Source organism: Homo sapiens, chromosome 11, assembly GCF_000001405.40.
Source record: "Homo sapiens chromosome 11, GRCh38.p14 Primary Assembly".
Lineage (NCBI taxonomy): Eukaryota > Metazoa > Chordata > Mammalia > Primates > Hominidae > Homo > Homo sapiens.
Genome location: NC_000011.10, coordinates 17,935,897 through 17,960,772, shown reverse-complemented (window position 1 = coordinate 17,960,772; position 24,876 = coordinate 17,935,897). Strand labels below are relative to the sequence as shown.

Below are 24,876 nucleotides of genomic sequence, written 5' to 3'. Positions count from 1 at the left end.
GCAGGCTGATGCTGAGAACTGTTTCCCTGCAGAGCCTTGTATCACTGCAATATTCTGACATTTCCCCATGAATCTATGGTTATTTTTTTAGCTGACACTATAAACCATATGTTGAATGTGGGGCCAGATGAAGCTTTGATACCAAACACAAAGTATGCAGTAGTAGATTTGTCTAGAATTTAATATGCACTGCTCTGTGTTTTGTCTCTAAAGCAAAGTTTTTCTTTGTTAAAATAAACATGTATAAAGAATTTATACAACGCACATGGTTATGCATATTTATTGCAGAGAATCTGTTAATAATCTATGGCTCATCAGATTTTGCATTTCTGTTGAAATAACAAATGTGGCACTTGGTACAACTGAATGAATTTGGTGAATTTTCTCTTATCTAGGAGAAGAAAGTCCATTTCTCCTTTTGCAAATCTCATTTTCTTTTGTCATTTTTAGCACTGGCCAGCTTCCCATGTGGTGCATCTGGGGGACTAAATGCTTTTCTGGCTCCAAATGGTTTTGCCATTTTTTTTTTCTTCTCTCACTCCCTTCCCTCTAGCACACATAAACACTTGCCTTAGGATTGTTAGAATTGCTCCTTTGGGTAAGAGCATAGATTCTGAAAGGTCCCTTTATGTTACAAGGAGGGGAGAGCAAATGAAGCTGGCCATTCATTGAGCTAGGCCCTAAGAGATTGTGGAGTGGAGAACTTCAAGGTGGCTAAATGGGGCCCTGGGTTGGGTGGGGGAGAGGAGAGCCTGAGAACAGGCATCTGGGCAAAGCACAAGGAGTGTGTGGGGAAGGGAGGGAATGGAAGGCCATAAAGCATGGTTGAAGTATATCCGTAGTCATATTCATATCTATATAACATGCAAGAGCAGAAACTTTAGAATGAATCTCTGCTTGAATCCAGCTCTGGTACTCACAGCTTATTTGATCTTGGGCAAGTCATTTAACCTCTCTGAACCTTAGTTTCCACATCTGTAAAAATATGAGTGCATGTGCCTTCTTTACAGGAAGATAGGAAGGCTCCTGGTAGGTGGTACTAAAATAAATGTCACACTTTCTCTTGTAATTCATTGCCTACCCATGAGAGCACAGCTGTGGAATGTAGTCTTAATTCAAATAATATTTGTTTTTAGAAACTGGCAAGATGTTTACCTGGGGCCGAGCAGACTATGGTCAGCTAGGGAGGAAGTTGGAGACTTATGAAGGCTGGAAACTAGAAAAGCAAGATTCATTTCTCCCCTGTTCAAGACCACCGAACAGCATGCCTTCGTCTCCGCATTGCTTAACTGGAGCAACTGAGGTAGGAAGTGACTTCTCACAGATGTAATCTGTCCCTTTTTCTTGTCTTTCAGTGAATCATTTACTGAGGGCCTACTGTGTGCCAGGCGTTATGGATAGGTACCATGTAGGAATCAGAAGAGGTCCTTGCCCTAAGGAGCTCATGCTTTAATGTGGTCAAAAGTCAGTCACCCAGATAACTGTACTGCAAGGCAGACTTTGTGTAGTTCCTTGGAGGTTCAAAGTACTTTGGATCTACTGTGAAGAGCAAGAAATGAATTCAGGGTACAGAGATTGGCCTAGGCTTAGAAAATGACAAGGCTGGCCAGGCACGGTGGCTCACGCCTGTAATCCCAGCACTTTGGGAGGCCGAGGTGGGCGAACTGCCTGACGTCAGGAGTTCGAGACCAGCCTGGCTAACATGGTGAAACCCCGTCTCTACTAAAAATACAAAAATTAGCTGGGCGTGGTGGCACACACCTGTAGTCCCAGCTACTTGGGAGGCTGAGGCAGGAGAATTGCTTGAACTCAGGAGGCAGAGGTTGCAGTGAGCTGAGATCACACCACTGCACTCCAGCCTGGAGGGGGGTGGGGGCAGAGCAAGACTCTGTCTCAAAAACAAAAACAAAAAAAACAACAAAAAAAGAAAATGACAAGGCTCTGATCTGTGCTTTGGAGGATGGGTCAGACTTGAGCAAGCAGTTGTAAGACAGAAATTTTAAGTGTGCACAACAGCTTGAAAAGAGTCATGGAGGTTGGAAAGTGAAGAAACTATTTTGGGGACTACTTGGTGGTTCAGTTTGGCTGGAGCATTGGGTATCTGGCAGGACAGTTATGAGGTAATATCAGAAAGATGGGCTGGAACCTGATCAAGGGGGCCTTTAATACTGAGCTAAACATTTTATACTCGTGTTTATTTTTCCCAGTCCAGAAAACACTGTAGTTCAGTTGCTTATTCAAACCCCTTTGATTTTCTGAAATGGCTTGAATTTCTACATTTAAGGCAGGAATCTTAATTTCTCCAGGGTGTGCGTTTCTGTTACTAAATTTTACTTTACTGTTACCCTTAAAAAAAAAGAAAAGGCTAGATTTTTTAGAAGAATGAGGATGGCCACACAGGAAATGTGCCTCTGAACCCAAGTTGGCTTACTGAAGGGATTCAGTCTTCATTCAGAGTCAGTCAAAAAAAATTAATAAGCTAGTGAGACTTCTGTAATTAGCATCAGACTAATGACAACCCTCTTCATACCTAGAGGGCTTCCCTTCCCCAGGGCCCTGCCTGGCCTCCTCCTTCCGGGTATGTAGGACGCTTCTCAATTTCTGCTTTAACATCCCAGCCCTGGTCTTCCTGGGCCTTTTCGTAGTGCTGGGTTAAGTGTGTCTATCTTTTTTTCTCTCTCTTTCTCTTGGGTTGAAAAGGAACTAAACAATACCACAAAGACAATTTACATGTAATAATAATGAAACTACTTAATATTATGGAAGATTTCCATAATCTTGCCACCCTAAAACAGCTACATTCCTTTTTGTGTATACACATCTCCATACTTCTACAAGTTGTACCAATAGCATTTATGATGTTTTGTTTTCAATCTTTATTTTATCACAGATGCTTTGTTTTTTTCCCTCTTGGTCTTTAAAATGATCATTTAAAATGGCTATGCAGTAAACATTACATGATTAGAAGGTTCTGGGATTTCTCAAACCATTCTTTGGATATTAGACATTTAGATCATCCTTTTTTTTTTTTTTTCCCACCACTAGTGAATCTCTGTTGAACTGTTTTCCTGAAGATATGATCTTGGGGATGCAATGACAAGGGCAAAGGTCCGGAGCATCTTTATGACTTTTGATATATTTCTTTAGATTGTGTTTGGCAGAAGTTGGCTCTACCAGTAGTGAATAAGGGAATGCAGTATTTAAACTAGTATTGTCTGCTTAGTGAGTTAAGGTGCTGAGAGCCTGTAAATAGTGCTTTACACTCTAGTTTTTCTTTGTCTTTCCAAGATCATTTAAGACTTTGTGGTCAGGTAGTATAGTAGTGGAGGAACAGAGGATTCTTAGATTTTTCCGAGTCTCTAGTTCTATTGGCAAGATAAGTATACCCTTTATAATAATACCTAAGGTATTGGTATTGGTAAGGATAACATGCAAAGTTCTTGACTTAGTAGGCACTCAGAAACTGTTGATTCCATTCTCTTCTTACCGTTTGAAATTTTTTAATGCCATGTGGTAGCCACAGTATGCAGCACTGTGACAGACATGACCAGTGCAAAATTTAGTCTAAGAGCCTGACATTGATGTGAATTTTACGTAGCTTATCAGGAGTGGGCTTGAGCCCTGAGCCCCCTGGCAGCTTCATTTTAGAGCTCCTTCCTTCCTAGCTCCAGTCTCTGGGGTGCTGGAGTGTAGACGCTCTGATCTCATTTCAGGTTCAGACTCCAGGCTATTACTCTCTGGTAAATTGGGTCTGGGAATTGTCTCCAGCTGTGGATATCCAGGTCTGGCCTGCTAGGCATGTATTTGCTCGAGGCCAAGAGAGAGCCAGGCCAGGAGGCAGCTATATGCTACTAAGAGTGGGTTCACCTTGGAGAAGACAAGAGCCACACTAAACTAGGTGCTACCTTGGTCATGGGCTTGGCCAGAGAGGTGCAGAGATACCTGGAGGTGCAGGAACAGTGTTGGACTAGGCTGATGTTTCCTGACCCTTGAGGACCTGAGTGTGGCACATAGCTGACCAACTGCCTTTAATTCTTCTTAGTTGCCTTTAATGTCCAAGGGATAAGCAGGAGGAGGAGTGAATTGTCTGGTGTCTCAGATAGGATGTCTGCAAAGAAGGGTCCAGAAGGATAGCCAAGCAGGAGAGGAAAACACAGGTAGACAGAGCTAGACTGTGGTATAACCATCCCTTCCTGGGAACCAAAGAAAGCAAAGAAACACAAAGTTATTTAGTGCTTATTATAGGCCAATATGCTAAATGCTTTGCAGATATTATTTTGTCTTCATGATAAACCTGTGTGCAGGTGTTACAATTGCTGCTTTATGAATAAGGAGACTAAGGCTAAGAATGGGTAAACTCAACTGGCCTCTACTGATCACACAATAGGTAAACAGTGAGCCTGGGTCTTGAACTTGAAGTGCTTGAAGAAGGTCACATACTCTATAGATAAAGTAAAATTGAGGTCCTTCTTTCTATGTGCCCTTTCCTGGGTGGAACCCTTTGCTGGGTTCTTGAAATCTGGGAATAAGGGTCTCTAATGCCCTAAGTGTTTCAATTCTTTTCTTCTGAGCCATGTCTCCTCTCTAGCCTGAGAAACACTTTATTTGAGATTTTAGACCTTGTAGGCCTTCCTTTAATGTCCTTACAGTGGTAAAAACTTCTGTGTTTCATTCTCTGTCAGTTTTACCTTAGATACTGGGCCTCTCTAGGCACTCCTGGAAAATTCCAGGGTGGGTAGTACAGTGATCTGGATTAATCCCACCAAGCGCATGTCAGGGCAGGATGTATGTGAACAGGTTTGTTTGCTGCTTGACTGCACATGTATACCCCAGCAGCTCTCTACTTTCCAAGTCAGTTTCATAGCTAAGGTCTCTAATCCCTAGCTGCTAACTCAACTTTGGCAGACCTGGGAATGTTAACTAACCTATAAGTTCTAGGCTTCTTCAGGACCACTTCAGCCTTGCTCTGATTCTTTGCCCTGCCTCTATTCTCTGCCCTTGTTTCTTGTCCCCAAGCCCTCCTATTCCAGTTTACGTTGTGGGACTTGGTATGATGCTGCTGTTCCTTATTCCCTGGACCTCAAGAGAGTGCTCCTGCTCCCTGTTCAATTCTTTGTGTTTCCAAGATGAAATCCCTGTCTGGTCTTCCCAGAACTTGCAGTTCAGCTTTGACTGTCATCCCTATGGCTGTGCCCTTATTGCCTAGGACTGACCTCAGTGACACTGCCTTCTTGGATTTCTTGCCCACCATCCCCACCACTGGCTGTTTGTGTGCTGTCCCACCTTTTATGCTCTCCTGGATCTTTCTGACATTTACCTCCTTCTTGACTTTTGAGTTCTTGCCCATTCCATAAACATTGGTTGACACCTGTCATGCACCAGTGTTGGCCATACAGTGGAAGTGGATGGGGAGGTGGATACAAGGATGAAAAATACACAGTCTTTGCCCTCAAAGAACTTCCAGGTATGTAAGTTAATATCTACTGTATAGATGAAAAGTGCTATTAGAGGTATGTACAAAAGGCCAAAGGAGCACTAAAGATGGAATGGTCAATTCTGAAGACACTAACAAAAAAGAAATGTTATTTGAATTGGGTTCTTAAAAATGCATAGGAGTTTAGCAAAGATAGAAGGATATCAGGCCGAGGGACAACATAAACTGAAATTGAGTCTAGATCACTTTTAACTTGTGATGCAATCAGGATGCCTACCCATTCTAGTGGCTGAACCTAGTTTTGTAATCTGGCTGCCTGTCTAGCCTGTCCCATCACTGTCTGAAGGAAAATGACCTTCACATACATTGTCTCATTCGATCCCAGCATGATGCTGTGAAATAGGCCAGAATAGGCATGGTTACTCCCATTTTGTTATTCAGGAAACTGAGGCCAGAGAGGCTAGCTAGGAATTAGGAGAAGATCCAAGGCAAACAGCTTGACTCCCAGTGTTTCTAAGGACTTTCTCTGGGCTCAGTCTGCAGCCACAGTCCTGAGTCATGTTCCTGGTTTAAATTCTGCCCACGTTTGGTTCAGGAGCACCAAATCCCAGCCAGGGAACTCAGTATACACGTGCATGTGTGTGCACATACAGTGCCATTGGAGCAGGAGCAGGAAATGTGGAAATAAAAGTTAAACCAGAGATTGGGTAATTGTCAAGCCCAAATGCCATCAGCTCTCATTTGCAGCAGGACTAAAACTGCTAAAGGATCAACCTGTGCACAGGGTCTAAGTGCAATCTGTCGGAATGAGTGGGAAAGAAGCTATTTTTAGTTTGCAGAGTCACTCACTCAGCTGTGTTAGCTGAGGTTTGAGCCAGGCCCCTACACTTTCCACAGTGTTATTTCTGAAGGAGAAATACCACTTGAATGCTTGTGTAAAACCCATTAATGAACCTGGAAGTTTCCAGGGCGTCTTTGTCCTACAGCTCCCTCGGAAGACTGCCTTTCCTGAATGACCTTCCTCCTTTCCTATATTTAATACATTTCTAATTTTAAGTTTGTGTCAAGACTGTGGGACTTTGGTGCCCTAAATAACACAGAAATCTACCACCAGCAATCAGCTGAGTCCGGAGGGCTCTGACAGAATTGAACACAACCTGAAAAAGCATTCCCAAGTGGCTCTCTGGTAAGTACCCACAGCATCATTGCTGTTCCTAGAGAAGCATGAGGTCTCTGAGACCATGGGCCCAGGCAGGCCAAACCTTTCAGTTGTAGCAGGGTCCAGTGTTTTAAAGCCCTCTGGAAATGGGATAGCAGTGCTTAAAATGGGTAGTAGTGTGCACCCAAAGATGGTTTCACTGGAGATTTAAAAATCTAGCACATCTGTGCTGTAGCTGCTGACATAGCAGGGGGAGAAATAACACAAAACAAACCTCAAAGTGGTGGACCGGATTTGTCCCCATGAACACTCAGAAGAGAGGAAGAGCTGTCATGTTTGAGAGAGATGGTGAAACAAGCACTTACTACCACCCACTATTTTCTTATTTATATTTATCATCTCTCTTTTCTCACTAAAATAGAAAATCCAAGAGAGCAAGGGCCTTCTCTGTCTTGTTCAAAGTTGTGATCCCAGTGTCTAGAATAGTCCCTGGCACCTTGTGGGTACTTAGTGAATGTTTACTGACTGAATAAGTGAAAAATGAATGAAAGTAATGGTTTTGGAGGTATGTACCCATTTTCACTGCTTCTTCTCTTCTTCCCCATAGTCTGTGCTTCTCAATCCCAGGCCAGTTTGGGAATAGGCATTTCCATGTTTTCAGGCATTTGGTCATCAGATGCCCTGCAGAGCCAGCACAGATAGGCTGTGAGCCTATATGGTGCTCAGAACAGCCCTGAAGTTTCTTACAAAGGCTATTGATGATGAGTCTCATAGTCCTTTAGCACTTCACAGTTTACCAAGTACTTTCGTGCCTATTCACCTTTGGCTTTTCTTCTTTAATCCAATAGATGCTTGAGTATGCCTATCTGTCTGAACACAGCATTAGGGTAGGGGAAGCAGAGAAGAGTGGAACAGTTTCTGCCTTAGGAGCTTGTGAGTTAGTAGCAGGGCTAAGTTCCCTGTAGGACAAACAGAATGTGACAAAGGCTTTAAGAGAGTCTGGCAATGAAAATATGTTGATCCTGTCCCTTCCCGTGTCTTGGTGACCCTTTCTTTCTGGCATTTTCAATCCCTGTGGTTTTGCTGGGTTCTGCTGGGTGGGGGTGGGGGCTAGGGTGGGAGGTTGTGACTGGAAAGCCTTCCTGAATTGGAAGGCTTGATGTCAAATTAGTGCTCAAGGGAGCAAAAGTAAAGTAACAGGGGAATCTTGGCAAGAACTTGAGGAGGAAAGCAGAGGAAGAGCAGCCAGATAGAGACTGAGTATTGACAGGAGAGGGAGAAGGGAAGCCAGGTACTGCTGAGTCACAGAAGCCAAGGAAACGCTAACAGGGAGGTCACGGAGGTTGGAGATGGAGTAAAGACTACTGGATTTGGTGACTGGGAGGCTGTGGCACTTGAGAGAGCAGCTTCAGTGGGAAGGTAGAAGCTAAAGCAGGAGCACAGCAAATGAGTGAGCGGGTGATGAGAAATAGAGGCTGTGGGTGTGAGTAGCCCTTCCAGGAGATTCTGGTCAAAGAGCATGAAAACAAGCCCAGTACCTTGAATAGAGAGATTGGTTACTGTTTGTTTTGTAAGCATGGAGAAACCAGAGCACGTCAGAAGGCTGAAAGAGAGATTTAGAGAGAGGAAGAAAACTGAGTGAGTAAAGTTGCAAGAGGAAAGGAGAAGAATTGGAGCAAGGCCCCCAAGAAGATGAGAGAGAGGATTGAGGTCACTGTGAAGGGGCCAGTTCTGACAAGAAGAAAGGAGACCTTTTCTTTCTTTCAGTGCTGGAGTAAAGAAACAAGGGGATATGTGAAGAGAGAAGTTTTGAGGTGGAGAAGAGAGTGCTTTCATTGAACTGTGTACCTCTTTTGTCATCAGGTTTTATGTTAGTTTTATTTATTTATTCAACAGATGTTTACTTTATCCTACTGTGGGCCATGCACAGGCACCAAGAATTCACAAATAAAAGTCAAACTTGCTGCCCAATACTGCAATGTGGTATTTATTAGTAATGTAGTAATTATTAACATGCCTATTTCTAAATCAAACTTGAAGTTCTTTGAGGACAGACATTATTTATCTTTGTATAATTAGGGCAAGGTTTGGTACAAAGTAAGTAATAATAGAATTGTGCTGAAAAAAGTGTGAGAGCTCATGTTGGTTGGCTTAAATCTTCGTGGTTAGATTGGAAGGAAAATTATCTGCTGGAGTGATGAGATTAGGGCAGGGAGGCTACCTGGGAGGGACTAGTTCACTTTACTCTGTAATGGGTTCTTCCAGCACTGTCAGGTGACTGCCTGGAAATGGGAGAAGGAAGACACCATTATTGGCTCTGACCCCTGAGTGGCGGGAAGGGCAGATGCTGCTGTCCTCATTCTGGGGGTGAGGAAACTGAAGTTGAGAAAGAAAGCTGTCACTGCTCAAAGTCACAGTACATGGCAGAACAGGGACTTGAACCCGGCTCTCAGACCCCTCATTTTTCTCATTGCTAGCCCTGAACACCAACAGCTTCTTCTCTGGACAGTTCTCATCAGGGTGTGACCCTGGGCTCTGGCTTTGGGTATCACTGGATGGTAGTCAGGTCTAATGGAGACTTGGTGGCCCTTTACAGGCTCTGCCTCAGTGTCATATCAGGAAAAGCAACAAGGAAAGGAATAGCCTCAGTAAGTATTGGGACAGTAAGTTAATTCATGCTTCTAGTAAACTCGTGCTGGCTGGAGTTGGAGGTCTGATGGACAGAGTCTTAAACGTAGAGCGTGACTTGGGTTGGACTTTCTGTTCTGTTTGTACAATCTGTATGATTTTGGGTCATTCAAAACCTTTCCAAGCCTTAGCTTTCTCATTCACAAAGTGCACATAATAATATCTGCTTTATCTTGCCCATAGAGTTATAGAAAAATGCAGATAGTATATATAAGGGCGTTTGTAGACTGTAATGTGCTGTACATGTACAAAAAAAGTTGTTTTTTAGGTTCATGACATATGAGCTGCTTCGGGTACAGGTTTTGTTAAAAGTATGGGTCAGAGCTGCTGTTTTGTCTTAATCGCTTGAGATCTTAGGAGCTACCTAGAACCACCATGGATCTTGTAAACACTTCTTAGAACTAGAACCAGTGAAGATAGTGGAGCCTAGATGCTTGATAATCCAGCCAATCTCCCTGCAGCATCAGAGTATGAATTCCTGTTGAGGCAGCCATCAGCATTGACAGCAAGGATATCTCTGGCTTGCTTTTTTTTCAGCAGCAGAGGAAATTCATCAGCACTGATTTAAAGTCCTAGTGACCTCATATGTTACTACCATGCTCTGCAGAGGTACAACCGCCCCAGGCTTTGCCCAGGGTCACCCTGGAGCTGACCAGCTGTCTTTTGTTGCATTTGACCTTGAAAACTGGGCTGTCCCAGGGTGAAAGTAAATCATGCAGAGGTTTAGAGTGAAAACAGAAGGCAATGAGGATTTAAAGGAGGCTTCAGTGGTCTGCTGAGAGCAATTCTAGGTCTGTGAAGGCTGAATGAGCTGCACATGAATTGGCTTGTCAGGGGACTAAAACTACCTCCATTTCTACCACTATTCTTCTAGTTTGGACCCTCATTATCTAGTGCCTAATACAGTGACAGCTTCTTAGTTGGTAAGCCCTTGTCTCTAGTTTGGTTTCACCCCAGTTGCCCACAACCAGTTGCCAAAGTGATGTACTGAAATAGAAATCTGATTGCACTATGCTCTTTTTCTTTAGACTCTTAGAAAATACAGAAAACATTTATTCCCATAATACACACTTATTAGATAGCGACTTTCTATGTGAAAGAAACTTAGCCAAGCATTTAAGATATAGTGGAGATTAAGACCCAGCCTCTATTCTCAATGGGTAGGAGAAACACACAACCCATAAACTGCACAGCCAGTGTGCAAAGAATGGAGTCATTAGAGTGTAAGCTCCAGGACTGTTGTTGGCCTTGTTCACCACTGTCTCCTCATCACCTTGCATAGCACCCAGCACACAGCAGGTGCTGAGCAAATGATTGTTATAGGGATGAATGTGTGCCCTTACTTTCTGACGGCTTCCTATCCTGAATGAAGTCTAAAATCTCTGGATTTTCATAAGAAGCTCTTCTTGATCCAGCTTCTGTCAAAATACCCAGCCTCACCTTCTACCAGTCTCTCCCTGTATTCTGCAGTTTATCTATGCCTAACCAATAATGCATCAGGTTTTTTGATACTTCTGGGTCTTTGCATGCTGGTTCTGCTTCCCTTTGCCTTTGGCTCCTTGGACAACTACTACCTATTTCTCAGTAGCTAACAAGGATGATGTCTTATAATCATCTTGGTATTCCTGCCACCTAGTCTTACAAACATGCCTCTTCTTACTTTCTCTGTTGAGTTTTTCTTTGCGTAGTGTCATTATCCACCTTCCTTGGCTCTGTTGAGCAGCTGTCCCTGAAGCACTTTTCCACCCTCCCTTTACCTCCCCTGCCCTTGGGTTTAGGCCTGGAATTTGTTGGGCTGTTGGTGGCCTGGCTCTGGGATGTGATGAGCCCTGACCTCCCTTTTGCCTTTCCTAAACACTTTCTCCCTCCTGCTTTGGCCACATCCAGACAGCTAGATCTCTCTCCCAGTTCTACTTGCACAAAAACCCTATGCTGAGCAGGGTATGGGTTTTGCCAGTCCCATTGCGCAGGGATTGGACTCAGTGTCCTGGATCCTTAGTCACTGTTTGGGACTTTGTTCTGAGTGGCTCATTCCCCTATATAAGGCCATCTGCTTGATTCCAAGGGTTGCTGTTCCTTGGAGCTTCTTGCTTGGAAGCTTTCTGACCAATGGGACCTCCTTGTTGTTTACACTGACCTGAATTAAGCCTCTCTTTGCCAGGCTCCATTGGGTACTTTATATTGGATAGCTGCCTTAGGAGCGAGCCCTGTAGTTCCCCATCTTCCCCAAAGATGACTGCCGTCTGGCTCCAGCCTCTTCTTTGCCTGAAATGTCCTGAACCACTGAGGCCTTGCCTGGTAGGCACCTCTTGAGGTAGATAAAGAGAAAACATTCCTCTTGTCACTTTCAGGGAAGCAAAACCACACCATTCCCTTGGGATGCAGCCTTTAGACCCCCAAGATCCCCAGCCAGTTGTTAGAGGGACTGGTGAATTGTGACTAGAAGGGGGAGGTTAATCTTTGTATGGTTACATAATTCCCTTTGTGATATAGTGGTTCTGTCTGTGGGGACACTGCCAGTGGTGGCCACCACCTCCTGCATCTGAAGATTACTGTTTGGAAGAGAGCTCTTTTTACTGGATGTCTGGTGTCATCCAAGACTCAGGGAGACTGGCTATGGGTAGCAGAAATGGAAGGAATCAGAGATATCTTTGCAAAAGGAGCAACTGCTACAATAATTAATTGTGAGGCCTCTGGCTTTTCAGAGGAACCAGAAGTATAAGTGGAAAGCAAAGTAGGAGGTAGAGTGGGGTCCCACTCACAGGTGCTGGGAGGCTACTGTGGCTCCCACAGGGGCCTCCCCATGTGCCACTTCAGGAGACCCAGCTGGCTAGGGAAGGTTGCTCATGGCTGCTGAACAAAATGTTTATGTCACTGTAAGCAGCACTCCCAAGACTGGCTGAGGAAAGTCCCTCGCTTCAAAAAGGTGATTCAGTAATTTTTTAGTTTCTTCTCTGTGGTTTTATTTCACTGTGGTCCCCACTGATAAGATTTCTTATTAATTACGTGGGGAGCATGCATATCATTTGACGATCGGGTCTGCACGAGGGAGCAACAAATAGGGGAAGGACTTGGAAGAATCAAGAGACTACACTGCGGCTTGATCTTTGGACAGCTGCTTTTACTTCTCTGAGTCTCAGATTTTGCATCTGTCAAATAGATATAATAATTCTTATTGGATTTAGCTTTGTAAGTTGTCAGAATGATGTCAGGGATGTGAAAGCATTTTATCAACTATGAAGCAATAAACAAATGTACGTTTTGTTTATAGATTTCTTACATTGGTTTTTCGGAAACGAATTTCTTGTAGCACTTTGGGAGGCTGAGGCAGGTGGATCACATGAAACCAGCCTGGGCAACATGGCAAAACCCTGTCTCTACAAAAAACACAAACATTAGGCATGGCGATGTGTACCTGTAGTCCTAGCCTCTTGGGAGGCTGAGCTGGGAAATGGAGGTTGCAGTTAGCTGAGATTGTGCTACTGTACTCCAGCCTGGGTGATAGAACAAGACTCCGTCTCAGAAAAAAAAAAAAAAAAAAGAATGGATTAGGAACAATTGGATTTTTTAAAAGAGGTAATAATAATGTTAGTTCCTGTTTGTCGAACATTGACTACATGCCATGTATTATGCTAAGCACTTTATAAGCATCACTTTTAATTCTTAACACATTCCCATGAAGCAGTATAATAATTTATCCTTATTTTGTAGATGAGGGAACCAAAACCTGGGGAGGTAACTTATTTAAGGACAAAGCTGGGAAATACCAGAGCTAACATAGTGGCAGCAGTGTGGACTAGAGGACATACAGGTGACTGGATGGTGGTTTTCCAGGTTGAAGGGCAAAGAGGTGACTGTGGCTTGGTGCTCACCCCAACTCCTAGAAGTCCAGATGTGCCAGTCTTCTGGCAGAGCCTGTAACAGCTCATTCTTCCCTCCCTTGGTGTCTGGGCACAAACTAGTGGAGGTAAACAGAGCCACCCAAGAGGCTTTCCTTCCCTAGAAACCACCACTTTAAAGCTGGTACAGTAAAGCATGCCTTTGAAGACTTGAGAAAAGATGTTTTAATTCCTCATGATTCTTTCTTGGGTTTGTGTTCTGTTTCTGTTTACAGTGGCGGGAAGTATGAGTTTTGGAGTATCTCATTCCTAGCCCCCTTACCTGCACATCCAAAATGTACCACTTTACAAGGCTCAGATTAGAGCTTGCCCAGTGGAATCTTTTCTGGACAACTTCAGTTGCCATTTCAAGTATGAGCTACTTGAGGATAGGCACCATATCTTGATTGTGGCTGTAACTTTAGTGCATGACACAGTGCCTATCAGAAAGCAAATGGTTGGGATTTGTTATTGAATTGAACGGAAATCTTAACTCAGAGTTTGAATCACCTATTAGTATTTGATTGTATTGTAACATCTGATTATCCCATGTGTGGTGGTCTTCCAGAGGAAAGTATATGTTGCTACTGAGTGGGCACTGTATCTTAAGATTTTTTGTGTGTCTTACCCTGTTAGGCAGGGAATGAGGGGCTAAGTCACATAGCAGGCACTTGGAGAAGCCTTGGGGGCTCCATCTCCATCTACTCTGAAGCAGGCTTGGAGAGATCTGTCATGAGATAGCTGTATTGGTTGCTAACAGAGTTATAATGTATTAGTTCTGGAGGGAGAGAAACAAAAACAGAATGCTGACTCCTCCAGTAGTCTCAGCATGAGGGGCATAGAAATATAGGCATCTTTTTCAATCTGCATTGCTCCATTCCTCAGACACCTATTTTAGGGTGAGAACACAGAGGCGTGCAAATGGTGCATTTCCCTTTGCACCCCTCAAGGTGAAATTTCTGCTGTTGCATGGGGACTTTTGGGAGCAGTTCTGTAGTTACTGCTGTATAATGCATTTATCATTCTGCTCCCCTGGCACATTTTGTAAAGCTGCATAATTTCCCCGTGCCTTACAACACTCACTAGCTCCATGATGATGATCTATCTGGTGGCCACAGCCTCCCTCATCAGGGTCTGTGATGCAGTGGAAAGAGCAATGTATTTGCTAATAATGACAGCAGGTAGCATACACCAAGTCCCAGTAGATGCCAGATTCTCTCCTAAGCACTTTCTAGGCACCATCTCTTTAATCCTCATGACAGTCTTGCAGAGTAGGGATTATTATTCTTCCGTTTGCAGTTGAAGAGAGTGAGACTCAGTGGTGGTCGTTAGTCCAAGGTCACGTGATTAGTAAATGACAAAGTTGCTAGTAAAACCCTGATCCTACTGCAAAACCTATGCTACTGCATACCAGGATTCCATTTTCATCTCTGATATTGACTCCCTGTGGGACCTAGGACCAGAGACTTTGCTTTCTCTGAGCCTCACTTTCCTAATCTGTATAATGAGAAGCAGTTCCAAGGGTTCTTCCAAAGTTCTAAGGCCAATACCATTCTAGTTGGCTAGAGCTCTTAATCACCTGGAGACCAATTTCTTTTCACCTTTGAGTTTTTGTTTTTTGTTTTTTGTTTTTTTGAGGTGGAGTTTTACTCTTGTTGCCCAGGCTGGAGTGCAGTGGTGTGATCTCGGCTCACTGCAACCTCTGCCTCCTGGGTTCAAGCAATTCTCCTGCCTCAGCCTCGTGAGTAGCTGGGATTACAGGTGCGTGCCACTGTGCCCAGCTAATTATTTTGTTTGTTTGTTTGTTTTTGCTTTTGTTTTTGTTTTTTAGTAGAGATGGGGTTTCTCCATGTTGGTCAGTCTGGTGTTGAACTCCTGACCCCAGGTAATCCGCCTGCCTTAGCCTCCCAAAGTGCTGGGTTTATTTGTTTTGTTTTATAGTGGCAGGCTAGCTGCTGTGTATTAGTTCCACAACAATAACATTAAAATCAGGCAAGTAAGAGAATGCATAGTATAAAATTGTATGGATCAGTGCTGTCCAGTAGAACTTTCTAGGATAATGGAAAAGGTCTGTATCAGTCTAATACAATAGCTAATAACCACATGTGGCTACTTAGCACTTGAAATATGGTTAAAGTAACCGACTGACTGAATTTTTAATTTTATTTAATTTTAATTCAGATTTCAGTAGCCACATGTGGCTAGTAGCCACCACACTGGACAGTGCAGGTATAGATAGTGTAATAATATAAAACTAAATAGAGCATAGATTCTTCTATGTTCCAACCAAGGCTTCTAATTTCCATTTGATTTTTCCAGAGGTGTAATACCTGATGTATTATTATATTTGTATTGTGCTTTCAGCACACTCAAACATACATTATTAAATCATTGTGTTTCCTACCTAGGCGGCATATAGAAAAGATGGTTTGTGCTATGTATGTTTTTCAGATAAGGAAAGTTAGGCACAGAACAATTCAATATACTCCTAGCAGCTGAGAAAAGTGCTAATTGTGTATCAAATATGAGTAAGTGGCTTATTTAAGGCCATTTTTGGAGCAGTAGAATTAGGACTGGAAACTTATATCTTCTGATTTCCAGCCTAAGTTTCCTCTAGTTTTCTTATCACTGATATGGCAAGCATAGAATAGAGAGACTTTGTTCATGAGATCATTCTTTTAATGTTAGGCAGGAAGGCCTTTTCTTTTCATTTTATACTTTTCTGTACTATTTGATCTTTTAATTCTGTGTCGGTATCATCTTAATTATAATAATGAAGTAGATATTTGGAAAAGTTTTATGAAATGTTATGAGGCTGTATAATATAGCTGTTCCTGTTTTGTAAATGTGAGATCTGCCATGCTAATCAAACAGAGAGAAGCGGGTTTTTCATGCGGGATCTGTGCTCAGAAGAGAATTGAATCTCATCTCAATTCCATTTCTGGTAGTGGTGCAGTAGTTTCTATCAGACCAGTCCTCCTACAGAAATCAACTATAAACTCAGACAAAATGTGAAAAAAACTACCTGAAGGAAATGGAGAGTGACCAAAAGCAGGCACATTCTTCACAAGTGTCAAGGTCCTGGAAGTTAAGACTGAGGAACTGTTCCAGGTTGAAAGATTCTAAAGAGACATAGCAACTAAATGAAATGTACAGTTGTGAACTGGATCCTTTTGTTGTAAAGGACATTACTGGGGCAATTGGTAGAACCTAAATTAGAGTCTGAAGCTTCTTGAAAGTTACATATCAGTGTTTATTTTTTAGTTTTGATGGTTGAATTGTTATGTAGACAGTGATGTCAATTTTGGTGGCAAACACACTGACATATTAGAATAATGGGGCATCAAGTTTGGCAACTTGATCAGAGACAGTTTAGAAAAAAATAAAGGCCGGGCACGGTGGCTGACACCTGTAATCCCAGCACTTTGGGAGGCCGAGGCGGGCGGATCATGAGGTCAGGAGATGGAGACCATCCTGGCTAACACGACGAAACCCCGTCTCTACTAAAAATATAAAAAATTAGCTGGGCATGGTGGCACGTGCCTGTAGTCTCAGCTACTTGGAAGGCTGAGGCAGGAGAACCGCTTGAACCTGGGAGGTGGAGGTTGCAGTGAGCTGAGATCGCACCACTGCACTCTAGCCTGGGCAACAGAGCCAGACTCTGTCTCAAAAAACAAACAAATAAACCAAAAAACAAATAGAGGGAAGGGGATATAGCGAGCAAAGCTAGTGAAACGTTGAGATTTGGGAATATGAGTTAATTGTAAACAGGAGTTCTTTGTGTGGTTCTTTCAACTTTTATCTAGGTTTGAATTTACTTCAAAATAAAAAGATTTGAAAAACTTCGAACAATAATGAAAGTAGAGCACATCAGTGTTTGTGGGATGCAGCTAAAGCAGTACTTTGAGGGAAATTTATATCTTTAAATGAATATATTAGAAAAGAAAAAGGACTAAATTCAACTGCTTAAGGTTCTACCTTTAGAAGTTGGAAAAAGAGTAAAAATAAACCTGAAGTAAATAGAAAGAAGAAAATAATAAAGGAAAGAACAGAAGTTAATGAAATAGAAAGGAGAGAAAAATAAAAGTTCAAAAGCAATTCTTTGAAAATATCAACAGAATTGATAAAGCCCTACCTGGACTATCAGGAAAAACAAGGTCACAAAATGCAAATATTAGAAATGAAAGTAGGTATGTCACTACAGATTATGTAGACATTAAAGGAGACTAAGGAAATATTACAAATAACTTTATGCCTATAAATTCAGCAACTTAGATAAAATGGATTAATTTTTGAAAAACTACAGTGTACAAAAACACAAGAGGAAATTGAAATAGAAAATCAGAATATCTGTATGTCTAGTAAAGAAATCAATTTATTATCAAAAACTTTTCCACAAAGAACTCTTTAGGCCTAGGTGGTTTCTCTAATAAACTTTATCAGATATTTAAGTAAGGAAATAGTACTATTTTTACACAAACTCAGAAAATAAAGGAGGGGACACTTCCAAATTTATGAAGTCAGCATAATTCTGATACCAAAGACATTACAAAAAAGAAAATTATTGATTAGTATCCCTTATGAACATAAACACAAAAATCTGCAACAAAATATTAGCAAATCAAATCCATTAATATTTAAAAAGGATAATATATCATGACCAAACTATGTTATCTCAGGAATGAAAGCTTGCTTTTTCACTTGAAAATCAATTTAATTCATCATGTATTAACAAAATAAAGGAGAAAAACCATAATAATAACTTCAACAGTTGTGGAAAAATCATTGACAAAATTTAACATTTATTTGTGATAAAAACTTAGCAAATTAGAAATGGAAGGGAATTTCTGCAGTTTAATAAGGGGCACTTATAAAGCACTAACATGATAATTGATGGTGAAAAATTTAATGTATTCCTTCTTAGATCAGAATGAGGCAAGTATGTCCTCTCACCATTTTTATTCACTATTATACTGGATGGAGGTTCTAGCCAGTGCCATAAAGCAAGAAAAAGCAATAAAAGGCTTAAAATCAGAAAAGAAGAGGTAAATCTGTTTCTATTCACAGATGATATGATTGTTGAATTATAAAATCTAACAAATCTATAAAATAACTATTAGAACCAAAATGGCAATTTAGCAAGGTACAAAATCAACGTTCAAAAATCAACTTTTTTTTTATATAGCAGCATCAAAGAATTGGAAAATTTTTAAAAAGCAGTTTTTTTACGATTATAATTTTACAGTTATATCAAAAAGTACAAAATATTTAGGTATAAACTTAACAAAAACGTGCAAGACTTGTACATAAAAACTACAAAACACTGCTGGGAGAAGTTAAAGACCCAATTAATTGGAGAGAGATATCACACTCACAGATTGGAAAACTCAATGTTGTTAACTTGTCAGGTCTTCCCAAGTTGACTTGTAGATTTAAAGCAACCCCAATCAAAATCTCAAGAGACTTTTTTGGGGGTTGAAGTTGATAAGCTGATTCTGACATTTATATGGAAACATAAAAGGCTGTGACTATCCAAAGTAATCTTGGAAAAGAAGAATGAAGTTGCAAGATCCACCTAACCCGACTTCAAATTTGCTATAAATCTACAAGGTCTCAGCAACAACAAAAACCAAACAGCCCAATTTTAAAAAAGGGCAAAGGACTTGAATGGACATTTCTCTAAAGATAATATACAAATGACCAAGATTATGTGAAAAGTTGCTCAACATCCCTAATCATTAGAGAAGTACAAATCAAAACCACAATGAGATACCACCCAACACCTATTAGAAGGGCTACTATACCAAACAGAAAATAAGAAGTGATGGCCAGAATGTAGAGAAATTGGAACCCTTGTGCACTATTGGTGGGAACGTAAAATAGTGCAGCTGCTGTGGAAAACAGCATGACAGTTCCTCAGAGCATTAAAAATAGAATTACCATATGATCCAGTAATTCCACTTCTGGATATATATCCAAAAGAGTTGAAAGCAGAATCGTGAAGATATATATGCATACCCATGTACATAGCACCACTATTCACAATACCCAGAAAGTGGAAGCAACCCAAGTGTCCATCAAAGGATAGACGATAAACAAAATGTGATATATACATGCAATGGAATATCATTCCGTCTTAAAAAGGAAGGGAATCCTGACATATACTACAACATAGATGAACCTTGAGGACCTTAAGATAAGCAAAATAAGCTAGTCACAAAAAGACAGATACTGTATGATCCTGGGATGGGTACAGAGTTTTAGTTTTGCAAGATGAAAAGAGTTCTGGAGATGGATGGTGGTGATGGTTGTAGAACAATGCGAATATACTTCACACCACTGAACTGTACACTTAAAAATGGTTAAGATGGTAAATTTTATGTTATGTATATTTGCCACAATTTTAAAAATTGGAGGAAAGACTCATCAGCATATGTGAAGGACACTTGTATCTACAACTTATTTTAAAATACATTTAAAAAGATTGGTGAATAGAGAGAGGGATGGCTAGATTTGTGATTAAAGCAAATACAGAAAAATGTTAACTATAGAATCTAGGTAGTAGGAATATGAGTGTTCATTGTACAATTATTTAAGCTTTTCTGTATGTTTAAGCTTTTCTGTATGTTTAAGCTTTTCTGTGTGTTTAAAAATGTTTATAATAAATATTGGTGGAGAAACCAAATTGTGAGGAAACAGAAAACTTATTTGTAATGCTTTTGGCCACAATTCAGCAGAAGTACAGTGACTCGGAGCCTGCCTTGAGCAGTGGGTGGTCTGACCTTGGGCGGTGGTTCATATCTCAGCCTTTGCACTTACTTTCTCCAGTGTAAGACTGAAGGAACACTAGAAAGGGGCCGTAAGACTGATCATCAAGCCGGTCATGGTGGCGTGTCCCCGTGGTCTCAGCTACTCGGGAAGCTGAGGCAGGAGGATCTCTTGAGCCTGGGAGTTAAAGGCTGCAGTGAGCGATGATCATACCACTGCACTCCAGCCTGGACAACAGAGTGAGAGAGAGAGAAAAAAAGACTGATCACCATTTTTCAAAGAAATGGTTGTGTGTGGGTTTGGGCAGAGCATGGGAAACTGACATTGAGGGCTTCCTTACCTAGCATTCTACATGTACACTGTCTTGTTTATTTCTGCCATTAGTAATAATAAGTTATGTACATGTTATTGTCTCTGTTTTACAGTTGGGTGGGCGGTGGTGGGGGATGCGGTCACTGGAACTCAAAGAGGCTAAGTATGCTGCATAGCTGAGCAGGGCCTTCAACCCAGATAATCTTGACTCACCATGCACCGTCTTTTCCTCTATCCCAGATGGCCTTGTTAGCATCCTGGGATATTGATGTCTTGCCCACAAGGAGAGGAATGTTTAGAGTGCAAGGTGGCTTGGGTTTTCTTTGACCCCTCTTTTTTGGTCTGAAACGTGCTATTCTAACTTCCCTGTTGAACCCACCATACTGGACTCAGTTCATTTGCTAGACCTCTTCCCATTCAGCTTTCTTCTTCTTTGTTAGACTGGAGGTGGAAAGGAGGAACCAGGCTAGATAGTATACTGCCTGTTTTATTAGAAAGGTTTTTCTGGGGCTCTTTCCTCTGTAATAAACATGTTTAATTCCAAATAAAACAAGTAACTAACTGTTCCTTCTGATTTTCAAATATTGCTGAAAATATTGGTGACATTCTTGCTTGCATGTCCTTTTGATGTCTGAGCATTCATTAGACTGAGAAAGGGACTGACAACCCTATTACCAAAGAGGTTTTCTAAGAGGAATGGCCAAGTCTAGAATAGAACAGCCATCTGCTGCCAGTTGGACAGGGTCCCACGGAGCTATGGATTTGACCCAAAGGCTGGCCTTTGCTTTGTGTTTGCACTTTTGGGATATCCCTTGTGTCATTGCTCCCTTCTGGCTCATTGGCTCTCCCTTTCCCCCAAGGGCTGCCCCATCTGTCAGGAGTCATGCTGCCTGTGATGCCTAGGCATACCTGGTGATCCAGAGGAAGCATACTGTATTCATGCAGTGAGGTGGCACCTCAGCTTCTCTGTGCTGAAATGCCCAAATTAATTCACCATTCTTAGCAGTCTTCCCAGCTGAGAAGACTCATGGCATTTCAGAGTGTTCCAGTGCAACAGGTGGGGCTCAGGGGAGTTAGATTTTTCTGTCCACACTCAAATACTCTTGCCTGATTTACCTTGATATTTCATTATCTTGGAAGCCATCAGACCGGGGAGGGAGCTGAAGACAGGTTGGTGAGTGAATAGAAGTCTGAATAATGAAGTCTACTTTCCTTTTTAAATTAGAAAGCAAATAACTTATGTTTCCAGGATTGTCATCTGACTTGTTTACTATTAATGCTTTTCTATTCTTATGTCTTTTCTCTACCCCAACCTTCCCCTCTTGTTCTCCTTGTTCTGCCACTCTTGTCTTCCTACTCCTGCTCCACTTTCTAATCTTTTAACATTTCTTTTCTGATAATATGAAAATGTGGAATGGTAGGAAAAATATAACACACCAGACTTCTTCACCCCTTTCCTAGGTGATAGAGTCACCATCTTAAATAGAGTCCAGAATAAACATTCTTTCATTCAGAATTTATTACATTTATTATGCTCTATCCTATAATAGTTCTCTGATGAGAGGAAATCTGTAGCCAGGCTAAGGAGGACCAAGAAGCCAAGGTAGCAATTGATTTTTTTCTAACACCCATTTGTCCATTGCTCCAGCCTCTTCTGATACCCATGAAGTATCTCTACCTCTCTCCTCTGGTGAGGAATATGGATATTCACTTGTATCATAGATCTACTTAGCATTAGATGCTATTTCACTTCCTGTATAAAATTTTGGGTCTAGAGTACCCAATATACCCATATGTTCCAAGGATGTCCTGTCTTTTTCTGTTTGCTTGCTGTCAGTTACTCCTAACTACAAGTATGAACTTCATATTTCCTCATGTCTCAGTCACTGACAACTTAATAACTAAAGTGTCCTGCAGTCTTGGGCAAAGAGAACCATAGGAGGTAGAAGAGTCTGGGGTCCTTCCTAATATCAGGGGTCTGGGGTCCTCCTAATATCAGGGGTCTAGGGTCCCTGAGGAGCTAGGGATTCTGTAATGTAACACATGGAATTGGAAGCCCGGACACTTGGGTTCTAAACCTAGCTTGCTGATAACTTGCTGTATGGCTTTCAGCAAGTCACTTTGCCTCTCACTTTTCCTGTCTCAACTTTAGGTGCTTGCAGGGATATAGGTATAAGTTAAGATGCTCATATTATATTGTGACCAAGCCAAATCCCTACTATATTGTCTTTTAAAATACTTGGTGGGCCAAACCCAATGGTGGGTCAAGAATAAAATGTCTGATGGTTGTATTTGACAGTCTGACTCCTCCTTTCCTTTCCCATGGTATATATGGGACCACAGCTGCAAAGTGAAGCCTTTGGACCACTTTAGGTCCTCAGAGAAGTCCATGAGCACAGTGTCCTAGAACCAGTAGCAGAGGTCCTAGCAATATGTTTGCTGGACAGAGGGGCTTTTACTACTTGTGGTGTTAGAAGCTGGTAATGGCATAGTGGCCAAGCTGGTGATGGCATAGTGGCCACTGACTGCTAGGGTTGTTCCCCTGGAGGATCTCTATTTCTTGGCCACTGACTACTTGCTTTATCCCCAATAGTATGTACCACTGAGCATCAGGGTACTAGGCAGGAAGGATGGGGTAACATATCCTGTGGGTAGAGATATTTCACAGGGGGCTGTAGAATTCCAGGTCTCTAAAGTCTAACCTAATCAGGGGCCATGTGGTCACATACTGCTAGCTTGAACTCTCTCCCCAAAGATTCCATTTTAGGATAGTTCTTACTGTTAGAAAGTTCATCTTTATATTGTTTTTTTGTCTACCTCTGTGAGGTAGGTAGGACAGGAATTTTTAAAAATAATATTAAATTTCATGTTATAGAAAGTGTGCATGCTTATTGTAGAATTGTGGAACACCAAAATCATCTGTAATTTCACAACTTAGGGAAAACCACTTATACCATTGTAATACATTTTATTTTATTTATTATTATTATTATTTTTGAGGGAAGGTCTTTCTCTGTCACCCAGACTGGAGTCCAGTGGCACGATCTCAGCTCACTGCAACCTCTGCCTCCTGGGTTGAAGCAATTCTCATGCCTCAGCCTCCCAAGTAGCTGGGACTATAGGCACGCACCACCACGCCTGGCTGTTTTTTGTATTTCTTTGTTAGTAGAGATGGAATTTGGTTATGTTGGCCAAGCTAATCTTGAACTCCTGGCTTCTAATGATCCACCCACCTTGGCTTCCCAAAGTGTTGGGATTATAGGCGTGAGCCACCATGCCCGGCCCATTGTAGTACATTTTAAATATTTTTTTCTACACGTATTTTTTAAAAATATGAGACATTATAGATAGTATGTTTGCTTTATATTCATATTTCCACCTACAATTATATTAGGAACATTTATCTATATTATTAAATATTATAAAGTAACTATTTAACATTTAAAAATAATATTGTATTATTTGAATATGCCATAATTTATGTGATTATTTTTGGAAATTTAGGTTGTTCCCAGGTTTTTGCTACCAAAAATTATGCTATGATCAGCATCTTTGTGCTTAAATCTTTGGTCAAATCTCTGATTATTTTCTCAGGAAGGATTTCTAGGATTAGGATTCCTGGATGAAAAGATACAGACTTTTAAAAGGCTCTTGACACATATTTAGGATGGCAAGAATTATTAAAGTTCACATTCTCATCCTTGATCCCTACGCTCATCACCAGTATAGGGGCAGATGCCTGAGTGTCTGAAGTACTTCATTTGAAAACTCCCTGTACCCACGAAATGGTATCTCATGTACTCTTGGCATCCTTAACCCTAATGAATGGAACCCCTAACTGTGAGTCTCTCTGTGAAATGCCTGTTGGTTTCCTTGGCTGGAGCCACGTTTGGATCAGAGTGTACGCCCTAGAGAGCAGGAAGCTTCGTATTACCTTGGATTGACTGAAGGGCCAGCCTTCTTTATTAGAACATGAAAAAAAAATCCTGTTCTGTTACTTGTCAGATGAGAATAATGAATATGAAAACACATTGAAAACTGGAGAACTCTATAAATGTAATGTGTTATTATTAGGGCTACTTTGGATTCAAATCGTAATGCTGATATGACTACTGAGATATTACATAATGCTTTTAGCACATTAGGGGGCTTTGATATTCAAATGATAATGTAGAACCTCAGAGAATATCTTACCCTGCCCTCTTATTTTATAGATAAGGAAACTCAGGCTCAGAGAACTTAATCATCTTATCCAGTATTACCCAGAAGAATAGGGCAACTAGGTCCTCACTTCTAATTCTTTTTGGTCACATTCTTGGCTTGTTGTGGAGCCAAGTGCAGCAATTAATATCATGTTTGTATGTGCTTCTAAGGTGCTGTTTAACATTTTTACCAAATAGTTTTAACATTCTGCTTGTTATACTGATTTACTTTGGATGCTATTAAAAGAATAGATAGAGTCCTGGGAAATTTCAGGCAGATTTACCATTAGATTATTTCCTTTTCTGAATTGGTGAGCCTGAATTAATGAATTATAGCACAAATGCACATATGCACATAAAGACTGAATGGGTAGTGATCTTTGAGGAAATTCATCAATTGTAACCTCTAATCCTGCTCCCTCCACTCTGCTGCCC

At 41.3% G+C, this 24,876-nt stretch overlaps 1 protein-coding gene across 3 annotated transcripts in view; it reads left to right on the top strand.

Moving 5' to 3' along the window:
* Positions 1-24,876, top strand: part of SERGEF (secretion regulating guanine nucleotide exchange factor) — a 225,000-nt gene that overhangs the window by 52,275 nt on the left and 147,849 nt on the right. For 2 of the 3 annotated variants that reach the window (NR_104040.2, NM_012139.4), the window contains exon 9: positions 1,137-1,303. The exons of the other annotated variant lie outside the window; for it this stretch is intronic. Coding sequence is in view for 1 of the 2 variants with exons in the window: in NM_012139.4 (NP_036271.1) it covers positions 1,137-1,303 (167 nt within the window). In the remaining variant the exon portion in view is untranslated. The remainder of the gene's footprint in view (positions 1-1,136; positions 1,304-24,876) is intronic. 3 annotated transcript variants of the gene reach the window in all.